The sequence below is a fragment of the Homo sapiens genome, chromosome 4 (genome assembly GCF_000001405.40).
Source record: "Homo sapiens chromosome 4, GRCh38.p14 Primary Assembly".
In the NCBI taxonomy this organism is placed as follows: Eukaryota; Metazoa; Chordata; class Mammalia; order Primates; family Hominidae; genus Homo; species Homo sapiens.
Window position 1 is genome coordinate 142768163 of NC_000004.12, and position 24824 is coordinate 142792986.

The window sequence follows — 24824 nt, forward strand, 5'->3', positions numbered from 1 at the left end:
GGGATCAATTATGTTAGCTGTGATTCTTCTTTTTAACATTTACTGAGTGCCTACCAGACACTAAGTGCTTTATACCATGTGATACAAAAATAATAACAATAAATTAAGTGAATAAATAAATACTAAAGACTGCTCTCAGTCTCTTCACAGTGTACTACAGGCAGCAAAGAAGCATTTGTCAGTCAAAGCACTAGACATCAAGATAAACGTATATATTGGGTGTAATTGCTACACAAAGTAGATAGCAACACACTCTGCCCAGAGGTCATAGCAGTCAGAAAGATTTCCCAGAGGATGTGCTATCTGAACACAATCTTAGCAGTCACATAGGAGTGGCCTCAGGAATGGCCATGGAGATGACTGAAATCAGAGTTAAGTCACAATGACACAAGGCAGTGAAGGCATTGACTGTATTATCTACCTCAGAGCATTGTTGTAGGAATTTAATAAAGTAATTCATGTCAAGTGGTTAAAGCAAAGCTGGCACATAGCAAGAGATGTGCATTTCAAGTACTGAGAGCAACATATACAGAAGCAAGTCACAGAAACAAGAAAGAACATGAAGCTTTTAGAGAACAGCCAGGGGATCAAAAAGGTCAAGACATTGAATTCCATGGCTGACTGTCAGAAAATAAAGCTGTACCATGAAGAGGTCAAGATGTGGTCATAAAGGATAAAGAGCTACATTTGCCTTAGTTTGGGATTAATTCTACAGGCAACAGGGAACAAGGAAAGGATTTGTTTTTTGGAACTTGCTAGAAGTATGGAGGATCGATTTGTAGAAAACTATACTGGATACAGAAAGGATCAGATGGTATTCTATTACAATAGCCCAAGGTAAATGTTGTGAAGATCTGAACTAATCTGGAAGAGTGGTAGTGAAGAGAAGAGGTCAAATTTATAAGTTTTGATGATTGGATATACATGGAAATTAAAGAATCATGTTCCTGAGATGACCCCAGGTTTCTGTGTTAAGTGGTTGCTTGTTTAGCAATGCTGTCAACCAAACAGGAAATAAATAAGGGACATGCGTCTTAAAGAAGGAAGAAGAAAATAGTGAGCTCATTTTGAATCTGTTGGCTTTGAAGGGTCTACCTAGTGCATGCTCTCTGCAGCTGCTCTACTTGTGTCCATTGTGAACTCAGCCAAAGGGAGGTGAGAAAGGCACAGAGAGGTCCCCACGATGCTCTGCAAGGCACTTTGCAGGATTTTTCTGGATCCCCAAGTGAAACCAGACCTTAATAAGTACACCTGCGATATTTTAGTAAACTATAACTAAGCTACATGCAACCATTTTTTAACTCCGCTAATTTACTATATTATCGTTAGAGTAGACATTAGGACCATGGCACATGGGTGTTTAATGATATGATGTGAATTAACGTTATGTCTGAAATTCCCCTATGGATGATTCATTACTCTTAAGTGATTGTTCTTCTCAGGAATTTTTACTTTAAAAGTGCAAATACCAGCCAGGTATGGTGGCTCACACCTGTAATCCCAACAATTTGGGAGGCTGAGGCAGATGGATCACCTGAGGTCAGGAGTTTGAGATCAGCTTGGCCAACATGGTAAAACCCCATCTCTACTAAAATACAAAAAATAGCCAGGTGTGGTGGTGCACCCCTGTAATCTCAGCTACTCAGGAGGCTGAGGTGGGAGGATCGCTTGAGCCAGGAAGACAGAGGTGGCAGTGAGCTGAGATCCCACCACTGTGCTCCAGCCTGGGCGACAGAGTGAGACCCTGTCTCAAAAAAATAAAAAATAAAATCATAAAAGTAAAAGTGCAAATACCTTTGGACCCACACGTTGGGTATTATTACTCATTGACAAATCTGTTTTTCTTCAAGTGAGAGAGAGGCTCATAGAAAATGGGAAGTCATTGAAGACCAACTGTAGCTCTTTGAGCTCAGCCTACAAATTCTGGTATGACGTGTGGTGTGAAAAAAAATTACATTACAAACTGACTAAGTTATCCTTGCAGAATACTGATAACAGTTGTTTGCCTAGTTGGTTGGTTGGTTTACAAAATCAGATCACTTCTTGGTCACAAGAGTTTGCCAAAGAACCTGAAGTATTCCATTGGTTGGAAGTAAAGCCATCAACCTTGGTCCAATATCAATGTTCCATGTATAATATTGTTATATTATCTAAAATTTTATAATAAAGATAAACATTTAATCATGTTAATATAAGTAAAAGGGCTGTAATTTGTGAGAAGACCTAAGCCAGTCTCTCAGCTTATAGAGAAGATGAACTTTTCTGACAGATCCTTTTTTTCAGTGAATTAATAGCATTGGTTTTCCTGCCTAATAAACTGGCACCAGGAGCATCAAATCTTCATCTCCTCTATTAAGTGAAACTATTCTCATTGCCCTCCTACCACATTCTTTCATTAGGCAAGTACCTTAGGTCAGAGTTTCTTTTACTAATTATAGGCCTCATCAATTCCCCAATCTCAGTTTTAAAAGGTTTTAATAGGAATTTAAGTTTCCTATACCAAACAAGCAATTCCATTAGAAAAAGAATGAAAGAGGAAAGAGTGATTACAGAATTAAAGAGAAAACACATGCCTCCATCTGTGCCGCATTCTCTGAGAGGCAGTGGTGATACAAGTGTGGTATCCGCTTCCAAGGGGCTCACAGTCAAGCATAAGAAAAGGCTGTGATGTGCATAGAGAGCTACAAGACAGGGCACAATTCTTAACACAAGAAAAGGATCCAGCCGTCTAGACAGCAAGGCAGATTGTCACTGAGATGGCATTAGTCTAGCAGTTAGTCAGTCAATAAATACATATTAAGGCAAGCACTATTGTAGATATCTCATTCTAGTTGGAAAGTGCGGGTAACAAATGCATCCTGCACCCAGTATGGGCTACAGAGAACTTGAAATCATAGGATGCTCATTATCCAAGGTGGTCAGGGAAGACTTCTGAGGACTTGAAGGGGAAGCTCTGAAAGAAAAGCATTTTGAGCTCAAAATGCAAGGACGAAGTTCCTATATAAGAAAAAATTACCTTGTCATGTTTGAGGGACAGAAAGTGGGTAAATGTCACCATACCACATGAACAAAGAGGAGAGAGACAAGCTAGAAGTTACTTAGGGGTCAGATTAAGTGGGCCATTGGATAATGTAGTTAGAAATTTACATTTAATTCTAAGTAGAAGCCATTGGAGAAGTTTTAAAACGGGAATGTTATGATCTGATGTACATCCTAGAGAAGTTTCTCTGGCAAATGTATGGAGAACCAATTTTAGGGAAGTAATAATGAAGGCAGGTAGACCAATCAGGAGGCTCTGAATGTAGTTCAGGAAAGAATATGGTGATACTATTCCAGGTAAGAGATGATGGTGGCTTGGAACAAAGCTATGGAAAAGGAGATGGTAAAAATATGTAAGACTCAGATATATTTTGGTAATGTACTGACAGGACTTATTCATGAATACAGTGTGGAAAGGAGAAATCAAGGCTTATGCTCAGGTTTGGCCTGAGCGGTACTGCAGTGCTATAAATGGTTGTACCTGAAAACCATTTGTCTTGGTCACAAGAGAAACTCTTGTGACCAAGAAGTGATCTGATTTTGTAAACCAACCAACCAACTAAGCAAACAACTGTTACCAGTATTCTGCAAGGATTACTGAGTCAGTTTTTAATGTAATTTTTTTTCACATCACACATCATACCAGAATTTGAAGGCTGAGTTCAAAGAGCTAAAATAATGAAGTTAGTCTTCAATAACTTCCCATTTTCTATGAGCTTCTCTCTCACTTGAAGAAAAACAGATTTGTCAATGAGCTGAGAGAACAGTACTGCAGTGTTGTAAATGGACTTTTACTTGAGATAAAGAAGAGAAAAATAAATCAAGAGTTCTCTGATCATGTTAAGTTTGTGATTCTAATTAGACAGCCAAGGGATTAAGTAGATACTTGGATATGTGAGTACAAAATAGGTAAAGAGAAGTCCAGGTTGGAGATAAAAATTTGTGAGTCATCAGGGAATAGATGGTTTTGAAACGATCTTAATAAGGCCCCGAAATGTGTCATTCATTCAATTCACACTTATGAGGTATCTATAATGTGGGAAGAAGGTACTAATCCTGTGCTGGGATAACTGGGAGGCCTGTCCTTAAGGAGCTTACAGCAGAGTGTGTGGAGGCGTGTGTCTCTGGGGTGGGAGTGAGGCATCAATAAGTAAAATACACAGCAGAAGGAAATAGCTGTGAAAGAGAATGAAGCAAAGTGGAGTTGAAGTTGTGATTAATTCCAACTGAACAATCTGTGAACAATCTGTTTCTCCCAGACTATCGCATTTCAGATGACCCTTAAATAATGCATAGATATCAGTAGATGGAAGAAAAGGGAAGGAGCTGAAGTCCAGTGTGGGCAGTAGCAGGAAGGTGCAAAAGCAAATGCAAAACACCATCACGGCACAAGAAGGAATAAACGAATAAACACAACACAAACCCAACAGTAAAAGAGCCTAAGGTCTACATAGGGAAATTGACATGTAAAGAAATAATAAAAGTGGCTGTCCAAAGGAGTGTGGGTAATGTATGAAGGAAAATTCACCCTATGAAAGTTGATGCTTTAAAGACACAATCTGGCCAGGTGTGGTGGCACACGCCTGTAATCCTAGCACTTTGGGAGGCCAAGGCAGGCAGATTGCCTGAGCTCAGGAGTTCAAGACCAGCCTGGGTAACATGGTGAAACGCTGTCTCTACTAAAAATACAAAAAATTAGCTGGGTGTGGTGGCACACACCTTTAATCCCAACTACTTGATAGGCTGAGTCACTAGAATTGCTTGAACCCGGGAGTCAGAGGTTGCAGTGAGCTGAGATTGCACCACTACACTCCAGCCTGGGTGACAGTGAAACTTTGTCTAAAAAAAAGTTTAAAAATTAAAAAAATAAATAAAGACACAATCTAACAGTACAACTGTTAATAGGGTCTAAATCTTAAGGACTTAGGAAATGGATGCTCTTAGAAACTGATGCTGGAAAGTAAAAATGAAAGCATCCTCCTAGACTAGAGATAAGGAAGAAATGAGTTAATATTAATAAATAATATTAGCAAAAAATGTTAGAACTCTAGTGTGGCACAAGAGCAGACATAAAATCCAAAGGTTGGTATCTTCTACTAAAAAATTACCTTATTGACATTTATTATTGTATGCAAACCACTGCCAACAATTACAGAGCTTATAAATGACAGATTTTCTACTTACCATGTACTCATATTTTAAAGTGGCAGAACTGTCTAATGGAATATACTGTTTATTATTAAAATTCACATGAGCTACACATATGCACACACACAAATGTACACACACACATTACTCTCTATACATTCGGTATACTAGGATATTTCTTGATGTGAGATTTACTATCTACAAGCTCAATTATTTTTACTGGAAGAGCTAAAATTTTAAAGCAGCTTGAGCTTCAATGCAATACACTTCTTAAAGGGTAGATGTGTTATAAGACATCATAATTTCATATTCATTTCTGTATTCCTGAGGTTCTGTAATTTTTTAAAGCATGAGTCACAAAGTAGAGATGTGTGAAGAAGAAATGCACAGGCATGGAAACACATAAGCAAGAAAACACTATTTCTCCAGTATTATCAGAAGGGTGGTGACTAAAATTTCTGCTGTTGTTGTTTCCCCAGAAGAGAATGAAATTGATCTAGATTTTTGGAGAGTAAGAGCCATCTGTTCCCATGGATAACAGTAGCGCTGCCTTCCAAAAGTTATTCCTATTCACTGGAATTGGCCTCAAGCATCATTTTACCAGATAGTATTTAAAACTGAGATGATAACATCCAATATTAAAACCATGGTGGGTTTTATGTCTTAATTTTGTTGCCTTTAACTTTTTGTTAGTTTTCTTAAGAGAAAAGAAGAGTGCATGTACATAAATAAAATGTCAGAGGCTTTTCTTTAATCCTTTCCAAACAGTGCTCAACAATTATTTCTCCCTTTCTATCCAGACTGTGTAATTCCAAAATGATCAGAGAAAAACTTGCCATCTGGATGTCATAAGTAAATAACTTGTTTCTGAGGCCTGCCTGGAGCTGTCTGAACCAGTGCAATCATGGAGGTGTTGGCTAACGCACCTGAGATGAAGACACCTTCGGGCTTATTCTTGTACAACTGTTCTTCACTATGACATTTCTTTAGCATATGTCTGAAGATCATTAAAAGGTAGTGCTGCAATCCTCTCCAAAGGCAGGTGAGTTATATTTGGACAGCTTAATAATCATAAAATTATTCTTTCAATCTAAGTTGAAATCTGCTCCCATGGAACTTTGATCAATTTGTTCTTTTTCTGCCACTGGAAACTAAAGTGAGCATGATCCCTTTACATACAACATCTAAAATATTTGAAGGCAGTAATTATAAGTAATTCACCTACAACAACTTCATAAACACTTATTTGATTATAAGTACTTCATCAATATTATCTCTTTCATTTTTTAATCATCTGTTCCATTTACAAGTTACCAGAGTTATTTATTGATTTTGTCTTCTGCACATCATGTTTGTCTCTTTTTTAAATGAGTTCCCTATTTTGAAACTGTTTTAGACTTACAGAAAAATTGCAAAAATAGGGCAGAATTCCCATATACCTTGCACATGCAGTTTCTCTTATTATTAACCTCTTACATTAGTACAGTATATTTGTCACAATTAGTGAACCTATATTGATATAATATATTAACTAAAGTTCATACTTTACTTAGATTTCCTTAGTTTTTAATGTCCAGATTTCATCTAGCTATTTCATTAGGCTCCTCTTTACTGTGACAGTTTCTCAGGGTTCCTTGTCTTTTATGACCTTGATACTTTTGAGGAATACTGGTCAAGTATTTTGTAGAATGTCTTTCAACAGAAATTTGTCTGATGATTTTCTTATAATTAAACTGGGGTTATAGGCTTATGGAAGTAAACCAATGGTAAAAATGCTATTTTCATCATACTGTATCAAGGGAACATACCATGAACATGATTTATCACTGTTGATGGTGACCTTGATCATTCAGTGAGACAGTGGTTGTCAGGATTCTCCTTTGTAAAGTTACTCTCCTCCATGCATTCTTCTTTACTGTACTCTTGAACCAATGTCATTATACAGAGCACAGTTAAAGAATGGATAGTTATGCTCAAACTTCATGAAGGTAGAGTATCAGCATATAATATTTAGAATTCATTTGCATCAGATACTTGTCTTTGTCTGCCATTTATTTACTTATTAAATCATTTATTATATCCATATGGATATGTTGAGTATCCTTTTGTATGCTTACTTACCCTCTGCATATTTTGTTCCCTTCCCTTCCCTTCCCCTCCCCTCCCCTCCCCACCCCTCCCCTACTCTCCTCTTCCCTTCCTTTTAATGGAGATGGGGTCTCACTGTGTTGCCCAGTCTGGTTTTGAACTCCTGGGCTCAAATAATCCTCCCACCTTGGACTCTCAAACTGCTGGGATTACAGGCATGAGCCACGATGCTGTATATTTTCTTTAGTGAGTGAAATATCTATTTAGATCTTATGTCCATTTAAAAAATCAGATTGTTTGAATGTTCAGTTTTTTATATATTTTAGATAGAAGTCCATTATCAGATATGTTATTTAGGAAGGAAGCATCTCATTTCTCATTATTAAGCATGATGTTTACTGTAGGTTTTTTTGCAGATGATATTTTGAGAATGCTCCTATTCATATTTGGTAAGAGTTTTTATGATAAATGAGTATTTGATTTTGTCAAATGCTTTTTCTGCATCAACTGATATGATCATACAATGTTTCATTTTAGCCTATTGATATGGTGGATCTTTGTATTTTAAAATATATCTATGTCTTTCCATATAGAGCATATATGGAGTAGCGCTGATATGTGCTTCTCTAATCACAGCTATAAATTATTTCTCTACCCCAACGATGTAATTTGTCTGACCCTGGAGACTTGCATTAATTCAAAGCAGTTTGACTTGCTCTTACTATTTCTTTTCAAGATTGTTATCAGCTGTGGGCTAAGGTCTACTACCCACTCACTTTGACCAAGAAAACACAAGTTGAGTGTAGCTCATAGAGGAAGTAGTGCTGCTCAGTATGTGGTATAATGTGGTGCTTCTTAAACACTAATGTGCTTATAATTACCAAGGATCTCACTGAAATGAAGGTTTTTCTTCAGCAGGTATGAAAGGGGCCAGAGATTTTGCACTTTAATACACTCCCATAAGTGACAACACTGTTGGTCCATGGACTGCTTGTTGAATATTGAGGATATAGTGGGAAGCAGAGGCACAATTCCAGAGAAGCTAATGAAGCTTCAGTGCTCATCATTTGCACTGGCTTTCTTAGGTATTGGAAGTTGCCAGGAACTATAGAATATTCCAGATATATGCAAGGAAGCTGGGCTGCAAACAGGAAGTATTTCTACATAAGCATTTCTGGCAAAGTGCTTAGATATCTTAGAAAATAGACACCCAAGTCTCCAAGGTTTGAATGATTTGTTGTGATTTCTCCTCCCATTTTAAAAATTCTATTTATATTGAATATTGTACATTATAATTTTGTGTTCTCTTGCTCAAAAGGGACACCACAAATTGTATAAATTTCAGAGCCTAGAGACCTGGATCTATCCCAGTGTAGAGTATAAAATTTAGAGTCACACAAACCTGAGATTAAGCTCTAGGAAAGCTCTAGTGAGCTAGTCCACACATGAATTCTGGCCTGAATTTGAAAATGATCATGAGTAGTGACTGGAACTCAGTTCAAGGTTGCTTTTAATCTGATTTATTCCTGAAGCAACTAAAAAGCAATGCAAAAATTTTACATGATAGAGGTGAAGATGGGGAGTGAGTTTCCCTGCTGCCTTCTTTACACTCATGAATGCATGTCCAAAATTTGGTGGTCCTACCAGTCTGTGTTAAGGCAGTGGCTCAACTAGGCAGAGCTTTCTACAACTATGGACTTTTATATGTGATAGACAGCCCCTAGGGTGACCTCTCAGTACTCCCCGCCTTGTGGTGTTAAGACCTTGGCAGGAACTCCTCCCTTATGACTTGCTTCTAACCAACAGAATATGGCAAAGGTGATAGGGCGTAACTCTTGTAATTACATTACAGAAGACTGGAGAGAGATAGAGAGAGAATCAGAGAATCTCCTGCTGGCCTTAAAGAAGCAATCATGTGTAAACTGCCTATGGAGAGAGGAGCCCATGTCAGGAAACTGTGGGTGGCCTCTAGTAGCTGAGGGCCTGAGTCCTGCAATACCAAGGAACTGAGTTCTGCCAATAATCACATGATCTTGGAAGAGGTCCTAAGCTCCAGAAAAAAATGCAGCCCAGCCAACACCTTGATTGCAGCCTACTGACACCCTGAGCCTCTGATCCAGGTAGGCCACGCCCAACCTCCTGACCCACAGAAACTGTGAGGTAATAAACATGTGTTGTTTCAAGTCACTAAATTTGTTACACAACCATAGAAAACTGATATAATGCATCAAGCCACATTAGCACCCAGAAACTACTTACACAATCATACGAGGCAATGATTCTTCTTCTGAGGGAGCCACATCCCCCAAGCCTAAATCTTGATTCCAGAACACAAAGTTCTGGCTGTGTCTGCCCTGGGGCTCTCTATCTCTACATCTGCTTTACAGGGAAGAGTTTTCACAGTGTGTCTTTAGAGATTATCTATGGAAAGAGTGGCACAGCCTACCAGCAGGATTGGCTATATAATGTGTAAAACTCAGTATGAAATGAAAATGTGGGCTCCTTGTTCAAAAATTTTTAAGAATTTCAAGACAGTGACAGCAGAGCCCATCTAAGTTTGGGGCCCATCTAAGAACGTGGCCTTGTGTAACTGCACAGGTCTCAAAATCATGAGGCCAGATTTTACTATTACACCATGTTAGCCATGCCTTGAGAAAATTATTTAAGCTGAACCTCAACATACTCATCTGGAGAAAACAACATGCTGTAAGCTTCAGTACGGAGAATTGTGAAATTTAAAACAGATGATATATGTGGAAGTCTCTGACCTAGCAATAGGTATTCAATATATGTTGACTTTTTTGTCTTCCTTTCAGTCTTTGCTTTTTATTAAGCTATCAGCCTCAAGCACCCATCCTTCCTTACTCATCTTTTTTTCTCCAAGCACAACTAATATAGGAATTTTAATCATCCAAGAACACGCTGGCTACAGGTCAAGAAAAATTATTTCTTTTGAGACTCATGACTTGTTTTCAGGTATCTATTCCTGTTTTATTATTTTAAAAAATCAGCAAGTTACATAAAGTTTTATAGCACAAATTCTGAAACATCTCAAGGTTTTCCAACATAGATTTCTGTCATTTGATTACCCTTCTCTTAATAAACCCATCATTAGAGAATTTTCACTACCCAGTACTCCTGAGCAATATGGCACGCTTCCATCAGTATCAGTGACTTACCACAGAAGATTCTCAGCTGAGTGTGTCTTGGGGGTTGGAAGGAGATATTAAGAACTAAAGCAGTCTCTCACATTGTTTATGATTCTGACAAGGCAAGCATGCAACTTACCACCACTACTTTGTTGAAAATCATTATTTTAGAAAGAATTTCATATAGTTTACCTTCCAAGGATGTAGAGGGTTATTTCATTTTCAATATATTCTTTCTGGATCTACAGTTTTTAATGACTTGTGATTTCCTGACCATGTAAAATCTCATGTAAGCAACACATGACATAATTTAGGATGTGAGATTGGTTCATACATACAACCAGACAATTGAGGGTCTAAATTCAAAGCATTTATACTTGTCCCTCCCCATGAATATAGGAATCAATGTAGCTGCTAGAGAGTAAGCCAAATTACCAGCTTGCATATTTTTATGTAAATGGAAAAGGTAACTTTCCATATGCATAAATAGTGTTAACATGCCTCTGATTTTTAGGTGACTCACTCCTACAACCCCGTCCAACTCAGTCCCTAACAGAATCACAGCCAAATCTCCTTGGCATACTGAGATAAAACTCAATATTTTTTTCTGAGAAAATTGTATAAATGCCAGTAACAAGTACTAAAAGTATTAAATATATATCTTAGATTCATTTTTGTGTGTTGAATGATATTTTTTAGGGTATCCTAGGACCCCAAACAACATTGGTAAGGATGTTTTAATTATATAAAGTCCCAAGTCAGTAATTTATAAACAAAATTTTGGAATGCCCCTTCACATGATTTGGAGTTTACATGAATTCATAACATTTAAAACCATCAAGAGTACAGACCAAAGGAAGTTATAATAAAAGAAAATGACACATTAGTGATACATGTACTATCTTATCAGAAAGTTTTTCCTTCCATCCTTTCTACAAATCCATGACTCGCAGCTATTATTATTTATTATTTTGTACCAACATGGTACACTGAGGTCAATATTGGTATGGCATCCCTTCCCTCTTGTCCTTCATTCCGTGTTTATAACATAAAAGGTAGTGGCTAAAACCATGAGACACAGGTTCTTGTTCCATCTAAGAGATCAGGAGGGTATATCTGGTTTTTAAACAACAGAAAACTAAACATTTGATTGTAACAAAATAAAAATGAATAAAGGGAGGAAAGGAATGAAAGTGGGAAAGGAAGAAAGATAAAAAGAAAACCAAGAAAAGCTATGAGGTTGGTGCAAAAGTAATTGAGGTTTTTGCCATTACTTTTGCACCAACCTAATAGTTAAACCTGTGTGGTTGAAGAGAGTCACAGTGACAGAGATCACAAAAGGGAGTGAAAGGGAACCAGAGACTAAACTTCAAGGCAGTTGAGCCAGATAATAAGGCTGCAGCAGATCAGAGAAGATGTGTCCAAATCGCAGTGCACTTCAGAGAAATGAGCCCATATTTACTAAATAAATGTCATTACTTTTATATTCACAGCCAAGAAAGAATAGAGCAACTTCTGCCACCTCAATGACAGCTTAGATAAGTTCAGGTTCAATTTAGACACAATTACATCTTTTCTTTAAAGTGAACATTATTTTCACAGTTTATTAATGTCAATTCCATAAAGCTAAGTATCTGTATCTTCACTATGATAAAAGCAAGTAGACTTTCTCATCTGTGACCTTCAAAAATATCCCAGAAGAGTGGTCATGAGAGTTTCAACTAAGGTTTAATATCAGAGGAAATTGAAAAAAGGAAATGGATTCAAATGAATTTTCAGCAATAGAATCTACAGGACTTAATCAAAATACGAAATGATGGAAGAAATAGAACATAAAATCACAGCACGTTTAACATGATACATGCTGAAAACACATACACTTAGCACTAAGAAATTAAGGCATTAATAAACTCAAGAAAGAGAATTTCCAGGCCAGGCACGGTGGCTCACACCTGTAATCCCAGCACTTTGGGAGGCCGAGGCAGGCAGATCATGAGATCAGGAGTTCAAGACCAGCCTGGACAAGATGGTGAAACCCCTGTCTCTACTAAATATACAAAAAATTAGCCAGGCATGGTGGTGGATACCTGTAATCCCAGCTACTCGGGAGGTTGAGGCAGAGAACTGCTTGAACTCGGGAAGTGGAGGTTGCAGTGAGCCAAGATCACGCCACTGCACTCCAGCCTGGGTGACAGAGTGAAACACCGTCTCGAAACAGAAAAAAAAGAGAATTTCCAATTTTAACCAAAATTTGATTCTGTCTAGACTGAATCCGATCTTAATATACTTCTCATAAAGGTGTCAGAAGCTATGTGATTGCTTCTTTTTCGGTTGTGAATATAAAATTAATGAGAATATAGAAAGTGCCTATGAGCTCATTTATCTCAAGACCTTAGACGCGTTAGAGAAATCAATCTCATAATACTCACTGAATTTGTGAGCTAAAAAGTGCTATAACAATGCGGTTCTTTAGGTACATGCGAGATATTCTTAAAACTTGGCAGATTCTCAACAAGATAGTGATGGGGCTGGGTGTCAATGAAAGAGTGGTTGTTAGGAAAGTGGGAACAGGATGAGGTGTTTCATTTAGAGATTTATCCTATGAGGATGTAAGGGAGTACTTCTCCCTCCAAATCTCCTATGAGGATGTAAGGGAGTACTTCTCCCTCCACATCATAAGGGGACTTGCACTCTCCTGTCCACATGTTTCCTCTGCTGATGAGTCATCTTTCAAGTGTCGATCCTATTTCCATAGGGAGGGCTCACCTCCCCACATCCCACTGGTTGTACTGCTGAGAACAGGCTCTCACTCCTTAAAGACAGAAAAAGGAGGGAACAGCTTTCAGTCACTTTATGAGAGAACCATGTAACACCCAGGGTAGTTCACTATGGAATGGATCATCTTAAGAAGTGATTAGTTTCCTGCCACCAGAAACATTCTGACCATTTACTGGCATCGATAATATAAAAACATGAATTGGATTGATTGTGGTAGAATTAATGAAAATTTCCCATCTGTGATTTAGTGAAACTGGAGAAGTATAAAAAAACCAAAGATATAAAATTAGAAATTGGATGATTTTGCAAAGGATCATAGAATTTACACACCCAGTGGAAAATAAATCTTTATAAATTAGGATTTACATCTTCACGTAAGGTGTGTGCCACTGATACTGCAATATTAAACATATAGAATATAATACTAAAATAAAAGAAAGCCCCATGGAAATGGACTTTGCATAAGAAAATAAGCATGTAACAATAAGAATCTAATTACTGCCCTTTAAAGAATTACTACAGAAAGTCCATTGCTTTACTTACTGGTCACTGGTTCAGCTGAAATGACTTATTCTAACTTTTGTCTTGCTAACCTTTTATTTTTTTTATTTTTTAATTTATTTTATTATTATTATACTTTAAGTTTTAGGGTACATGTGCACAATGTGCAGGTTAGTTACATATGTATACATGTGCCATGCTGGTGTGCTGCACCCATTAACTCATCATTTAGCATTAGGTATATCTCCTAATGCTATCCCTCCCCCCTTCCCACACCCCACAACAGTCCCCAGAGTGTGATGTTCCCCTTCCTGTGTCCATGTGTTCTCATTGTTCAATTCCCACCTATGAGTGAGAACATGCGGTGTTTGGTTTTTTGTCCTTGCAATAGTTTACTGAGAATGATGATTTCCAATTTCATCCATGTCCCTACAAAGGACATGAACTCATCATTTTTTATGGCTGCATAGTATTCCATGGTGTATATGTGCCACATTTTCTTAATCCAGTCTATCATTGTTGGACATTTGGGTTGGTTCCAAGTCTTTGCTATCGTGAATAGTGCCACAATAAACATACGTGTGCATGTGTCTTTATAGCAGCATGATTTGTAGTCCTTTGGGTATATACCCAGTAATGGGATGGCTGGGTCAAATGGTATTTCTAGTTCTAGATCCCTGAGGAATCTCCACACTGACTTCCACAATGGTTGAACTAGTTTACAGTCCCACCAACAGTGTAAAAGTGTTCCTATTTCTCCACATCCTCTCCAGCACCTGTTGTTTCCTGACTTTTTAATGATTGCCATTCTAACTGGTGTGAGATGATATCTCATTGTGGTTTTGATTTGCATTTCTCTGATGGCCAGTGATGGTGTCACGCTACCTGACTTCAAACTATACTACAAGGCTACAGTAACCAAAACAGCATGGTACTGGTACCAAAACAGAGATATAGATCAATGGAACAGAACAGAGCCCTCAGAAATAACGCCGCATATCTACAACTATTGATCTTTGACAAACCTGAGAAAAACAAGCAATGGGGAAAGGATTCCCTATTTAATAAATGGTGCTGGGAAAACTGGCTAGCCATATGTAGAAAGCTGAAACTGGATCCCTTCCTTACACCTTATACAAAAATTAATTCAAGATGGATTAAAGACTTAAACGTTAGACCTAAAACCATAAAAACCCTAGAAGAAAACCTAGGCATTACCATTCAGGACATAGGCATGGGCAAGGACTTCATGTCTAAAACACCAAAAGCAATGGCAACAAAAGCCAAAATGGACAAATGGGATCTAATTAAACTCAAGAGCTTCTGCACAGCAAAAGAAACTACCATCAGAGTGAACAGGCAACCTATAAAATGGGAGAAAATTTTTGCAATATACTCATCTGACAAAGGGCTAATATCCAGAATCTACAATGAACTCAAACAAATTTACAAGAAAAAAACAAACAACCCCTTCAAAAAGTGGGCAAAGGACATGAACAGACACTTCTCAAAAGAAGACATTTATGCAGCCAAAAAACACATGAAAAAATGCTAACCTTTTTTAAAGCAAGCTTATGTTAAATTAAATTGGAATTGGGTATCTTCCATATTGGCAATATTTATGTTATGGGGAGTACCGAAGCACCACGCATAGACAGTTTTTATTGACCTGGCTTCCTTTCCCCTCTTCTCTCTTAGTTTTTAGTTTCTAGTTTCACTTTTATGTATCCCTTGTGGAAGATTAATTTTATTAAATATCACATTTTGCAACACTGGGATTATGATAAACAGAAATTTAGAATCCTCTGTGTACTCTGCAAAACATTAAAATGACAGAAATATGCATTAAAAAGAATAGAGAGTGTAATGACACTTCATGTAGCGTATTACTTGCTTCTCCCAATCCTTCCCACCTCTTTCTTACCAATTATTGAGGTGGGTTAAGCACCTAATGTACTAGATTCTGGGTGGCAAATAGTGAATGTAGAGCAGGGTAAGAGGAAAGACAGAATGTTTGCAAACAGGTAAAGGCACATCATTGGACTATAAAGAATGAGATAAATTAGTTTATAAGAAGGAGAAATTTTAAGACTTTTCAATCTAAAAAAATGCCAGAGACTTTTGGTTTCACCTTCAGCATGTAAAGAGCTTAGAAGTCATCACTGTCATGCTTAGGGCAAGTAAAAAAACTGAACAAACTAAAAATCAAGAATGTGGCCAGGCACAGTGGCTCATGCTTATAATCCCAGTACTTTGGGAGGCTGAGGCGGGCAGATGGCCTGATGTCAGGAGTTCTAGACCAGCCTGGCCAACATGGTGAAACCCCGTCTCTACTAACAGTTCAAAAATTAGCCGGGCGTGGTGGCATGTGCCTGTAGTCCCAGCTACTCAGGACGATGAGGTAGGAGAATTGCTTGAACCCAGGAAGAGGAGGCTGTGGTGACCTGAGATCATGCCACTGCACTCCAGCCTGGGTGATAGAGAGAAACTCTGTCTCAAAAATAAATAAATAAATAAATAAATAAATAAATAAATAAATAAATAAAAATTAAAATCAAGGACTTTTTTTATACCAACCAGAAAACTGAGGTCACAGGGCAAACCACCACCCCAGAATTTGAAAGGACAGGCAAATACATAGAGTCACAACCAAGAAGAGCTTACCTGGAGCAAAAGCTGCTGGAGCCATCAATTTATAGAAGCATTTAACTGATAATTTTGATGAATTGCTGGAGGATACATGCAGGTTAGCTTGAGAGTGAGAAACTCCTGGAGACCAAATTTAAGAAGACCCCACAAGTTGGTAGACTTTACCTCCAGGAACCCAAACAGGTCCTCACAGTAAAGATCTGAGAAAAATGTTTTTTTTTGGTTTGTTTGTTTGTTTCAGAGAAAAGAGAAGAGTAACCCTTTTACAATGCATCCATAGCATTCCTCATACCAAAGTCTTCCAGAAAAGACTTTGCCAGAGCTTTATCTGACCTAAGAGCAGGGTCATTATTCAAAAACAGCCCCCTTTAGGCTTCCTGTCTCACTTACAGCGATAACAAAAAAGAGCTAAGAAATACTTGTGGAGGTAACAGCCCAGGTACACAGCCTACTAAAAGACAGACTTAATCATAACATTATAGAATACACTCCCTACTCAAACCTGTACAGCAATGTCAACAGGGCTCCAGCATAGTAACAGTGAATTACATTTAGAAGATCAAGAAGACACAGATTCTACTCAAAAAGGAGTTCTCAGGGAAACTCGAAGACAACAGAGGAGAAAACAACAAGAAAATTAGAGGAAATTTAAGCCTCTGGTACCTATAGCTATAGCAAACTTTAAACACAGCTAAGTTCCTTGTCAGAAAAACATAAAACTTCCCCCTAAATTTACTATTATCCAATACATCATGCCCATCTTTCAATAAAAAATTACAAGTCATGATTAAATGGAAGAAACAACACAGTCTGAAGACATAAAGCAACTGTGACATGAGATTCAGATAAAACAGTTTAGAATTATCAGATAAAAAAATTAAAATAATTATAACTAATATATTAAGGGCCTTAATGAGAAAAGTATCCAAGTAAGAGTATATGGATAATGTAAGCAGAAAGATGAACACTCTAAGAAAGAATCAAAAGAACATGCTGGAAATCAAAAACGCGATGATAGAAATTAAGAATGCTCTTGATGGCCTGTAAGTAGACTGGCATGGTTGTGAAAAGAATCCGTGAGTTTGAAGATATAATAATAGCAACTTCCAAAACCAAAATGTCAAGAGAAAAAAGAACAGAATATCCAAGAATTGTGAAACAAGTTCAAAAAATATAACATATATACAATTGGAATACTAGAAAACGAAGAAAAAGAAAAAGGAGCAGAAGAGATGCTTAAAGTACCAAGGGGGAAGAACTGTCTAGTATTAATGACAGTCATCAAAACCGTGGATTCAGGAAGCTCAGAGAACACCAAGCAGGATAAATCCCCTAAAATCTACACCTAGCCATGTCATATTCAAACAAAATAAAACCAAAGACAGAAATTACTGGAAGAAGCCAGGGGGGTTGGAGGGGACACCTTGCATTTAGAGAAATAAGGATAAATATTATATCCAACTTTTCATCTGAAATCATACAAGCAAAAGGTAAGTGAAGTGTGTGCATGTGCATGCAGGTTAATATATAAACATATTTCTTTTTTCTGTCAACTGAGAGGACCTAAATGAAATGACACCCCAGCAAAAACAAATATCCATAGGACCCAAATCTTGATTTCTAACACCAGTCTCAACTAAAAGGAACCTGGGCTCTTTGGATAAATGGTTGATTCTAGGACTGAGGCAAGAAATATCCAAGATTAGGCTAGAGCCTCTTGTAGTCCAAGTAAGTAAGAAAGTGCTCAAAAACAGAAACTAAAACCTCATATTGATGGGACTATACCAAAGGAGCAGAGGAGACAAGTTAAAGAGCTCCGTTTGGCCAAAGCTGGAACAATTTAAGCAAAAAATAAATTCATATTAGATTATAACCCAAAGCATAAAATAATTAACTAAGAATCTATATTGATATAAATGACTTAATAAATTAATAAAAGCAGGGGATAAGAGACATATTCAAATAATGTATGTAGATACTCTACCCTAAAGGAGGTGGAACATAATTCCCTGCTCCTTAACTGTGAGTGAATACAGTGATTTCCTTCCAAAGGACTGATATGAAAATGAAGAGAGAGAGAAAAAGTAACTGTACAGTGAAGAAACACAACACACAGTATTTCAGCCAGGTGCATGAAGGTCTATATGGAATAAATCATGTTGACAATATGTACCCTCAATATGGTATGATAAAAAAGGCACTCTACATTTGTCATTTTCCTCCGAGCTGCCCCTAAAAGCATAGCTGCTGTATAATCAAGAAAACACAATAGACAAGTCTAAATTGAGAGACATACTATAAAATACCTAACCAGTAATCCTCAAAACTGTCAAAATTGTCAAAAATTTAAAGAGGGGGAAACTGTCACAATCAAGAGGAATCTAGAGGTATGACAAGTAAATATAATGTGGTATCTCGGATAGAATCCCGGAAAATAAACTATATACATGCTAGGTAAAAACTTTAAAAATCTGTGTAAATTATGAGCTTCAGTTAATAATAATCTATCAATATTTGTTGGTTAATTATATCAAATGTTAAAAATAAGGGAAACTGTGTGCATGGGATATGTAGGAATTCTCTGTACTATCTTCTCAATTTTGTTGTAAATCTGAAACAGTTCTAAAAAGAAAATCTGTTAAAATAAATGTCAGGTTCAGGATAATAAGAAATTCTATTTCTAGGGTTTAAATTTATCCTTCAAATAGCATGTGTCAAAAACTTAATTTGCAATACAACCGTGCTGGGAGGTGAGGCCTAGTGAGAGGGGATTCGGCCATGCAGTCTCTGCTCTCATGAATGGATTAATACCATCATTGTGGAAGTGTGTTTCTTATAAAAGAACAAGTTTGGCCCCTGTTACTCTTTCTCATATGCTTGCCTTCCACCATGGGATGATGTGGCAAGAAAGCCCTCTCCAGATGCTGGCACCTTTATACTGGATTGCCCAGCCTCTAGAACTATGAAAAATTGATTTATTTTCTTTGTAAGTTACCCAGTCTCTGGTATTGTGTTTTAGCAGCACAAAATGGGTTGAGACACCTATAAGCTGGGTTTCATTCATATTCATATTACCAACTTATTTTATACATTGAGCTGTCAGCTGTGCCTGTTTATGCAGCAATAGTTGGGAATTACAATGGTTAATTACAAATTTATATCCAAATTCTGCTTTGGGTAAAGTAGTAAGTTGGTGTTTAAAGAATAAAAAAATCCCACAGGAGATAGTGACTGCCCTCCAAAAAAATCTACTATCAAAATGGAGGTGGAGGAACACACACATAAAAAGGCAAATGGTAATTTACAATAAGCACCAAGTAAATATAACTGTTATAAACATTCTGAGAGACTGGTGTAGACTTGAGGAATCAGAAAATAGGTCACCGAGAAACTAGTGCAAGATTTAGAGAGGTGGAGGGGGAGAGGGCAGAAATGTGATGAGCACAGAGAGTAGAGCAATTCAGAGGAAGTGGAGGAAAGCCCTGGGAGTTCAGATGGGAGCAACTGGATTGCTTCCGGTTGCGGGAAGCCTTAAAGCCAGCTTATAAAATATAGACATTATCCTGTTTACAGTGTCTCAAAAACGCTGACCCATGTGGCGCAGAGCATAGCAATTATAATATTCAAGCCAATAAACACTTAGTACATTTAGAGCAAATAATAACTTAAAAAATAGGCAATATTAATAACTTTAATAATGCATCTTTATTCCAAAAAATTCAAGATAATTCTCAAATAAAATTTTAGTTAACTTTTTATAAAACATATTGAAAGTAGTAAAAGTATAAGATTAAAAAATGCTCATATAAAAGAATAGAAGATGGACTTTCTAAGATAAACCTGATACTAAAATGTGGGTTTCCAAAGCCTTATAAGAAACGTTCTGCCATGTCACCTACTAGTAACATGTGAATGGTCTTTAAGATATTAGAGAAACTAGAAACGTTTTTATTGAAATTTTTCTATTTCCATAGGTTATTGGGCAACAGGAGATGTTTGGTTACATGAGTTAGTACTTCAGTGGTGATTTGTGAGATTTTGGTGCACCCATCACCCAAGCAGTATACACTGCACACAATTTGTAGTCTTTTATCCCCCACCCCTGCCTGGCCTTCCCCACTGAGTCCCCAAAGTTCATTGTGTCATTCTTGTTCCCTCGCATGCTCATAGCTTAGCTCTCACTTATGAGTGAGAACATATGATGTTTGGTTTTCCATTCTTGAGTTACTTCACTTAGAATAATAGTCTCCAATCTCATCCAGGTTGCTGTGAATGCCATTAATTCATTCCTTTTATGGCTGAGTAGTATTCCATTGTATTTATATACCACAGTTTCTTTATCCAATTTTTGATCAAAAAGATAATCCACCATGATCAAGTGGGTTTTATGCCAGGGATGTAGGGATGATTTAACATACGCAAGTCAATAAAAGTTGATACATCAAATAAACAGAATTAAAAACAAAAACCAGATGATCATCTCAATAGATGCAGAAAAAGCATTTGATGAAATCCAGCATCGCTTTAGATTAAAACTCTCAGCAAAATCAGGATACAAGGGACATACCACAATGTAATAAAAGCCATCTATGACAAACCCACAGCCAACATAATACCGACTGGGAAAAAGTTGAAAGCATTCCCTCTGAGAACTGGAACAAGATAAGGATGGCCACTCTCATCACTCCTCTTCAAAACAGTACTGGAAGTCCTGCCAGAGCAATCAGACAAGAGAAAGAAATAAGGGGCATCCAAATCAGTAAAGAGGAAGTCAAACTGTCACTGTTTGCTGATGATATGATTGTTTAACTAGAAAACCATAAACACTCCTCCAGAAAGTTCCTAGAACTGATAAATTAATGCAGCAAAGTTTCAGTGTACAAAATTAATGTACACAAATCAGTGCTCTTCTATACACCTACAGTGACCAAGTTGAGGATCAAATCAAGAACTCAACCCCTTTTACAATAGCTTCAAAAAAATACTTCGGAATATACCTAATGAAGGAGGTTAGGTATATTTTGTAATTTTCCTTGCAGAAAACTACAAAATACTGCTGAAAGAAATCATAGACAACACAAATAAATGGAAACACATTCCATGCTCATGGATGGGTAGAATCAATATTGGAAAAATGACCATACTGCCAAAAGCAATCTATAAATTCAATGCAATTCCCATCAAAATACCATCAACATTCTTCACAGAATTAGAAAAAACAATCCTAAAATTCACATGGAACCAAAAAAGCCCACATTGCCAAACCAAGACTAAGCAAAAAGAATAAATCTAGAAGCATCACATTACCTGATTTCTAACTATACTAAAAGGCCATAATCACCAAAACAGCATGGTACTGGTTTAAAAAAAGGCATGTAGACCAATGGAACAGAATAGAGAACACAGAAATAACCAAATTACTTACAGCCAACTGATCTTCAACAAAGCAATAACATAAAGTGGGGAAAGAGCACCATATTCAACAAATGGTGCTGGGATAATTGGCTAGCCACATGTAGGAGAATGAAACTGGATCCTCATCTCTCACCTTCTACAAAAACCAACACAAGATGGATTAAGGACTTAAATCTAAGACCTGAAACTATAAAAATTCTAGAAGATAACATTGGAAAAACCCTTCTAGACATGGGCTTAGGCAACAATTTCATGACCAAGAACCCAAAAGCAAATCCAATAAAAACACAGATAAATTGCTGGGACTTAATTAAACTAAAAAGGAACCGTCAGCAGAGTAAACAGACAACCCACACAGTGGGAGAAAATCTTCACAATCTATACATCTGACAAAGGACTGATATCCAAAATCTACAATGAACTCAAAAAATTAGCAAGAAAAAAAACAAACAATCCCATTAAAAAGTGGGCTAAGGACATGAATAGATATTTCTCAAAAGAAGATATACAAATGGCCAACAAACATATGAAAAAATGTTCAACATCACTACTGATCAGGGAAATGCAAATCAAAACCGCAATGTGATACCACCTTACTCCTGCAAAAATGGCCATAATCAAAACATCAAAAAATAGTAGATGTTGGCATGGAAACTAGAAAAGTTTTAATAGATTTTCAAAGCCCAAGGCCTATATAGGAGAAAGAAACAAACTGAAGGAAAAAAACAAAAAACAAAAACAAAAACAAACCTTATGTAATTAAACTGATTAACTATTAAACTGCTTTATTTAAAAATATATATTAATATCTATTTCTATATGATGCAGAAAAGAATGTTATTCTAAATTGAGGTCCTTTTTTTCTTATATTAAAAATAAACCAAGTTCCAGCAATGTCCTATTTTTTTCTTTTTAAGACCTTGAAAGGGAGACATATGAAGCCCAACATCTCAAATGGGTGCACCGGTAAATGAACCCCACACTTCATCCCACTCCCACTCTCTAACACCAAACACAAACTCCATTGCAAGTTTTCAGAAACCTGCCCACATTTAAGAACTTCTAATTAAAGAATAATAGTTAATACCTAGCATCTATATAAAACATAACTATTTGGTGAAACTTGATGTTTTCACATACATTATTATCTTTTGAACTTGGACTTCAAAGCTGGAGAAAAATATATCATGAATTTATAGAAAGGAAATAGAGATAGAGAATATTGCAATGATCTGACTAAAATCAGATGCTGAAGAAAGGGCATGACTTTCTGGTTTTATCACCAAAGCTTAATTTCAAAGCATGGAGGCTTCATTTCAGAAATTTACTGCTGTGTGTAAAGGGACTGTTAAATATTGCTGTTCTATAAGAGCTTTTGTTTCATTTCATTTCATTTCAGCAATTTTCCAGGAGGAGGAAATGGCTGTATACTAAAGGGTCAGAGATTATAACAGCAGCAATTAAGATGAGATTCTGCCTATAGCATTAGCTCATTGTCTACTGCTCAAACATAAGGTAAATTCTATGAAAGGTGTGTGTAGACTGCAGCCAGCAAGGGGTAGATAGACTGGGGAGGATTAGAATGACGCAGTTTATTTTGTGTTCACTCAGCATGAAGGCTTTAAATAGGCCTATATCATGTCTTGCCACTAACATGGGCCTTGATTTCTTCTTGATGATTTAGCTTCAGTTCAGTGACTAGTTTAATATCTTACCCATATCTTCCTACATAAGAATTTCCTAATACCTCGGCCCCCTTGGGTGCATCCTCAGGGATCATGAATGGCTTCTTTTTGCGTTCGTTTTCAGCTATAATTATTTCTAGAGCCACCACCCTCCTGTAAAGTGTGCACCCTGACACCCAGGCTCTGCTACTTACTCACCCATTGACTGCTATCTAAACTTGCCACTGTCATTGATCCTCCTAAATACTGATTTCCCACCCAGATGTTCTCATATTGCATTGCACTGCTCACAGCCCACCTCCAACAATCCTGGCACCCACGTATGGTTGACAAGAAATTCTGAAGTGAACTTCAAATTACAGTAACCAAGAGAGAATTGTTTAAAGTTGATCAAATTCTTAAATTTCCCAAGTAAATAACCCTATAATGCCTCAGTTCATCACACTGGTTGTATTAATGGGATATTTTCTTTTAAAAAAATAAATTTTAGCTAGATGTGGTGGTCCTGTGCCTGTAGTCCCACAGCTACTTGGAAGCCTGAGGCAGAAGGATCGCTTGAGCCCAGGAATTTGAGACTGCAGTGAACAATGATGGTGCCTCCAGCCTGGGCAACAGAGTAAGACTCTATAAATAAATACATAAATTTTTATTATTTTTTAGAAAATGTTACTCCAATTGGCAAAACAATACATATAAATTTTAGAAAATGTAAAAGAGAAAAAAACAGAAAAAATACAAGAATCATTCATATTTCTCAGTGAATATTAATATGAAACACACAGCAAAGGTTCATTTTGCTAATTTCACTTAGCATTTTATCATAAACATTTTCTCACAACATTAATAATTCTTTGAATGCTTTTAGGTGCTGTATGATTTTCCATCATATGAATATATGATAGTTTATTTAATCATTGCCCCAAGGTCTTTTTCTTAGCTTATGGAAACTGCTCTAAGGTGAGTCTAAACAGGGACACTAATAAGCCCATTACCATGTACTCAGAAAAAGTGACATATCCCTTGGCCATATTCTCATTAATTTTAGAGTGGAAAATGTCCTGAGAGTCTTCTCAGATGGAAAAATCACTACACACCTAAGCACAGCAGCTTTCCAGGCCACACAAAGCCAGTGGGGATGGATTCTCTCCACATCATAGGTAAAGGGTTGATGTGAAAACAATACCAAACTTAATTCAAACGCCGCTCTTTCAAAATTGAAAATGAAGTGCCCAAGATATTTTTAGAAATGCAAGATAAAAAATTATCAAAAGTAGATCTCAAAATGGATTGGGCCATGTAAGGTTCTCTATACCCCAATCTTGGCCCTGATGCTCCCTTTACTAGATAGACATTGGCAACCAAACTCAGGAGG

General features: G+C 37.0%; 1 protein-coding gene and 2 long non-coding RNA genes across 13 annotated transcripts in view; 1 reads left to right on the forward strand and 2 right to left on the reverse strand.

Annotated features, from left to right (window-relative positions):
- Positions 1 to 24824, reverse strand: part of INPP4B (inositol polyphosphate-4-phosphatase type II B) — an 823376-nt gene that overhangs the window by 745003 nt on the left and 53549 nt on the right. The gene's annotated exons all lie outside the window — the stretch shown is intronic.
- Positions 477 to 23282, forward strand: LOC105377457 (uncharacterized). Its single transcript, XR_001741433.2, has 4 exons — positions 477 to 837; positions 5988 to 6229; positions 9128 to 9395; positions 23167 to 23282. It is a non-coding gene; the product is annotated as an uncharacterized LOC105377457 (long non-coding RNA).
- The window catches only part of USP38-DT (USP38 divergent transcript), a 396420-nt gene continuing 391875 nt past the window's right edge, over positions 20280 to 24824 (reverse strand). The window contains exon 4 of the long non-coding RNA NR_185979.1: positions 20280 to 21063. This is a non-coding gene — a long non-coding RNA (USP38 divergent transcript). The remainder of the gene's footprint in view (positions 21064 to 24824) is intronic.